Source organism: Homo sapiens, chromosome 1, assembly GCF_000001405.40.
Source record: "Homo sapiens chromosome 1, GRCh38.p14 Primary Assembly".
Classification (NCBI taxonomy): domain Eukaryota; kingdom Metazoa; phylum Chordata; class Mammalia; order Primates; family Hominidae; genus Homo; species Homo sapiens.
This window is the reverse complement of record NC_000001.11, coordinates 12,837,863-12,842,387: the sequence shown is the minus strand read 5'-3', so window position 1 is coordinate 12,842,387 and position 4,525 is coordinate 12,837,863. Positions and strand designations below refer to the sequence as shown.

Genomic DNA, 4,525 nt, shown 5'->3' with positions numbered 1-4,525 from the left:
GGACTTTCACCCTATCCCTAAATCTTTCACTCTGATGGATGAATATCTAATTCAATCAGTTAATCTGGAAGAAAGCCAAAAATCCAATCAGGATTAACTGGGTAGAGTTTAAGAAGTCGAATCAAATGTAGTTCTCTCTCTTTTCTTTTTTTTTTTTTCTTTGAATCTAGCCTATTTCCCAGGCTGGAGTGCAGTGGAGTATTGTCAGCTCACTGCGACCTCTGCCTCCTGGGTTCAAGCGAGCCTCCTGCATCAGCCTCCCTAGTAGCTTGGATTATAGGCACAGACAACTGCACCTTGCTAATTTTTCTAATTTTGGTAGAGGTAGGGTTTTACCATGTTGGCCAGGCTGGTCTCAAACTCCTGACCTCGGATAATCCACCTGCCTCTGCCTCCCAGAGTGCTGGGATTACAGGTGTGAGTCACTGCACACAGCCAAAGTGGTTCATTTTGAATATGTGTGAGAGGTGTGTATTGGAAACATCTGTGTCTTGCCAATGATGCATAACACTGTCACATAGCTTTCAAAGCTTCTCGCTGAAATTTTCAATAATGAGACCAGGCAGAGGCTCATGCCTGCAATCCCAGCACTTTGGGAGGCCAAAGTGGGTGGATTGTTTGAGTCTAGGAGTTCAAGACCAGCCTGGACAACATAGTGAAACCCACTGTCTTTACAAAAAGTCAAAAAATAAAAGATTAGCTGGGTACGAGATCTGAGCTTCAGAGATCCTCGGTAACATTTGCCAGTGCTATGAGTTTAGTGGATCAGTGGCTAATAATTCATGGACTACGAGGGATCTTGCCTGCTCTTTAGAAGTTGGGACACATTCTTCATGGTACCAGAAGGGTAGAACTGTGTCTCTGTGGCCACTTATTGCAGAAAGGAACTGGAGTAAACTAAGGGCTCTTTCACACACGCTAGAGAAATGACTTTGGCCCTGGGAGAATTGGGGGTTGCAGGGGATTGGTCTGAGGAACTTGCCTTTTTGCTGGATTGTGCTGTAGAGTTTTTCCTTGTAGATTTGTCAGAATGAGCCTCCAGACCCCATCCAGACTCCTGGAGCTGGCAGGGCAGAGCCTGCTGAGGAACCAGTTCTTGACTATCTTCACCCTGGATGAGCTGCCCAGGGAGGTCTCCCCTCTGTTCATGGAGGCCTTCAGCATGAGATGTTGTGAGGCCCTGAAGCTGATGGTGCAGGCCTGGCCCTCCCTTCACCTCCCTCTGGGATCCCTGATGAAGACAACTCATCTGGAGACCTTGCAAGCTGTGCTGAAGGGACTTGATACACTAGTGTCCCAGAAGGTTTGCCCCAGTTGAGGTGACTCAGGTGGCCTGGTGGGAAGGGTCCAGACATCCAGGGAAGGGACAGCTGGCTCAGGAGGAGTGGCAGTGTGTGGGAGCTAGGGTGGCTCAGAGGCTTCTGATGGTGCCCATGAGAAGCCTTGGCCATTGCCCAGATCCTCTGGAAAAGGACTGCTTACCATACAGGGTCCACTGAGGAAACAGGAACCTGCTTCCTCCCAGTGGAAGGTAAAGGTACTAGAAGTGGGTACCATGCAGAATCCAAGGGGGAACAGGATGGAGAAAAGACAGAAGGAGGAGCACTGGGACAGGAGCAGCTGACTCATGTCCTGGATGCGGAGTGAAAGTTCAGGTCAAGGGTCGGTCCTTGCCTACATTCTGAGCTTTTCCCTTATGTTACTCACAGGAGGTGGAAACTTCAAGTGCTGGATTTGAGGGATGTTGATGAGAATTTCTGGACCATATGGTCTGGAGTCAGGGTCCTCCCCTGCTCCCCAGAGGCCATGAGTAAGAGGCAGACAGTGGAGAACTGTCCAAGGATGGGAGAGTGCCAGCCCTTGAAGGTGTTCATAGACCTCTGCCTGAAGGAAAGTACACTGCATGAATGCCTGAGCTACCTCTGAAGGTGGATCCACTACAGAAGAGGCCTAGTGCACCTGTGTTGTAGTAAGGTGCAGAATTACTCAATGCCCACTTCAAGTTTCAGAAATCTATTGGAAAGGATATACCCAGATAGTATCCAGGAGTTGGAAGTCTGGAAAAAGTGCTCTCTCAATAAAACGGGAAAGTTTGCCCCTTACCTGAGCCAGATGAGCAATCTTTGCAAACTTTTTAGCCTTCGGTTATGAGCCTGAATTATACGTGAGCGGCCAATGGCAGTTCATTCCTGACTTGGATTGGCCATTCCTGTGCCTGTACTACCCCCAGATGCATTATATAAGAAAGGTCAGTAATATCAAAGAGCACCTGGAGCACCTGCTCAGGTAGGAAACGATGGTGGGCTTTCTGTGCAGACCATAACACAGACTTTTGTTCTTTTTCACAGTAAATGTTAGTGGGCATCTACTGTGTGCCATCCACTGAGGATGTCACAGGGAATGGGATGCTAGAATGTCAACTCATTAAGCTGTTCAGTGCTCTATATCCTGAAGTTGGTATCACAAGACCACTCAAATAAGGGCAGAGGGATGGCCTGGGGTAGATGCTACAGAGAGAGATGTATAGGGAGCTAGTTAGTTGGGGATTCACATCTAGTGAAGGGGCATTTGTGAATTCCTCCTTAGGAAGTGTGTATAAAGTTAATATGATGAAAACGTATTCTTCATAAAGAAGAGGGTATGAAAGAAGGGAAAGTGCAGTCTGGTGTGATGTCTCATGCCTGTAATCCCAGGACTTTGGAAGGCTGAGGCAGGCAGATCACGAGGTCAGGAGTTTCAGACCACCCTGACCAACACAGTGAATCCCTATCTCTATTAAAAATACAAAATTTAGCTGAGCATGGTGCCAGGCACCTGTAATCCCAGCTACTTGGGAGGCTGAGGCAAGGGAAGTGAAGGCTGCAGTGAGCTGAGATTGTGCCACTGTAATCCAGCCTAAGTTACAATGTGAGACTCTGTGTCAAAAAAAAAAAAAGAAAAGAAAAGAAAAAGAAGAAGGGAAAGTGCATGAAACCTGTGCATTTCACAGTAGAAGCTCCGTCCTCAGCAGCTTAATAAACACCAATGATCCTGTCTGTAATTCCTTGTCTGTGAAAGGTTGTTTTGAACTCCAGGAAAGGTAATTGATACGGGAAGTGCATGCTTCTGGGATGGAGGGTGAGGGAGTAGGTGTGAGAGTGGTACCAATCACACAAGCGAGGCTGAAAGGACTGAGCCTAAAATAGAGCTGCCCCTGAATGATCTGAGTCTTCATCAGGCAGCACCTTGCACGCAGACCATCATCTGGTGATGGGAACAAACTTGTGTTTGGGTGAAACAGGCTTCCCTATTGCAGTTACTATAACACCTGTGTGGTAGTAAGGTGCAGAATTACTCAATGCCCACTTCAAGTTTACCATTGAGATGATTTCCCACCCCCCTCCTCTAACTGGCACCATTGCCCATAACTAACTTCTTGCTCTCCCCAGGTACCTCAAGAACCCCTTGGGGGCCTTTACATTCAGTGATGCTTACCTAGCTGATCGGGACATGGAGTGTCTGTCTCAGTACCCAAGCCTCAGTCAGCTAAAGGAGCTGCGTCTGATTCATATCCTAATGTGGACCACCAATCTTGAGCCCCTTGGAGCTCTGCTGGAGAAAGTTGCTGCTACTCTCAAGACCCTCGTCTTAGAGGACTGTCGGATCCAGGCCCCCCAACTCAGGGTCCCCCTGCCTGCCCTGAGCCACTGTTCCCAGCTCACCACCTTCTACTTTCATGGAAATGAGACCTCCACGAATGCTCTGAAAGACCTGCTGCGTCACACAGGCAGGCTGAGCAAGTTAGGCCTGGACATGTATCCTGCCCCTCTGGAGTGTCTTGACAACAGGGGTCATGCCAATTGGGAGATCCTCACCCCAATTACGGCTGAGCTGATGCGTACACTCAGGGAAGTCAGGCAGAACAGGAGGATCTTCTTTTTTTTTTTTTTTTTTTTTTTTTTTGAGACGGAGTCTCGCTCTGTCGCCCAGGCTGGAGTGCAGTGGCACAATCTCGGCTCACTGCAAGCTCCGCCTCCCGGGTTCACGCCATTCTCCTGCCTCAGCCTCCCAAGTAGCTGGGACTACAGGCGCCCGCCACTACGCCCGGCTAATTTTTTGTATTTTTAGTAGAGACGGGGTTTCACCGTTTTAGCCGGGATGGTCTCGATCTCCTGACCTCGTGATCCGCCCGCCTTGGCCTCAGGAGGATCTTCTTTGGTCCCACCCCCTGCCCTTCCTGTGGCTCATGGCCATCTGAGAAACTGGAGTTCCATGTGCTCCTAGGGAAGGCCTGGTTAGTGGGATGGATAAGCTTTCTTCCGGACACTTGGGAACTAAAATCTTGTACATGGGTGCATTTTTAATTTTAATTTAATTTAATTTTTTATATTTTTATTTTATTTTATTTTATTTTTGAGACAGAGTCTGACTCTGTCCCTCAGGATGAAGTGTAGTGGCACAATCTCAGCTCATGGCAAGCTTTGCCTCCTGGGTTCAAGTCATTCTCCTGCCTCAGCCTCCCAAGTAACTGGTGTTATGGGTGTGG

General features: G+C 48.4%; 1 pseudogene; it reads left to right on the top strand.

The window, feature by feature from the left end:
- Positions 1,005-3,918, top strand: PRAMEF30P (PRAME family member 30, pseudogene; annotated as a pseudogene).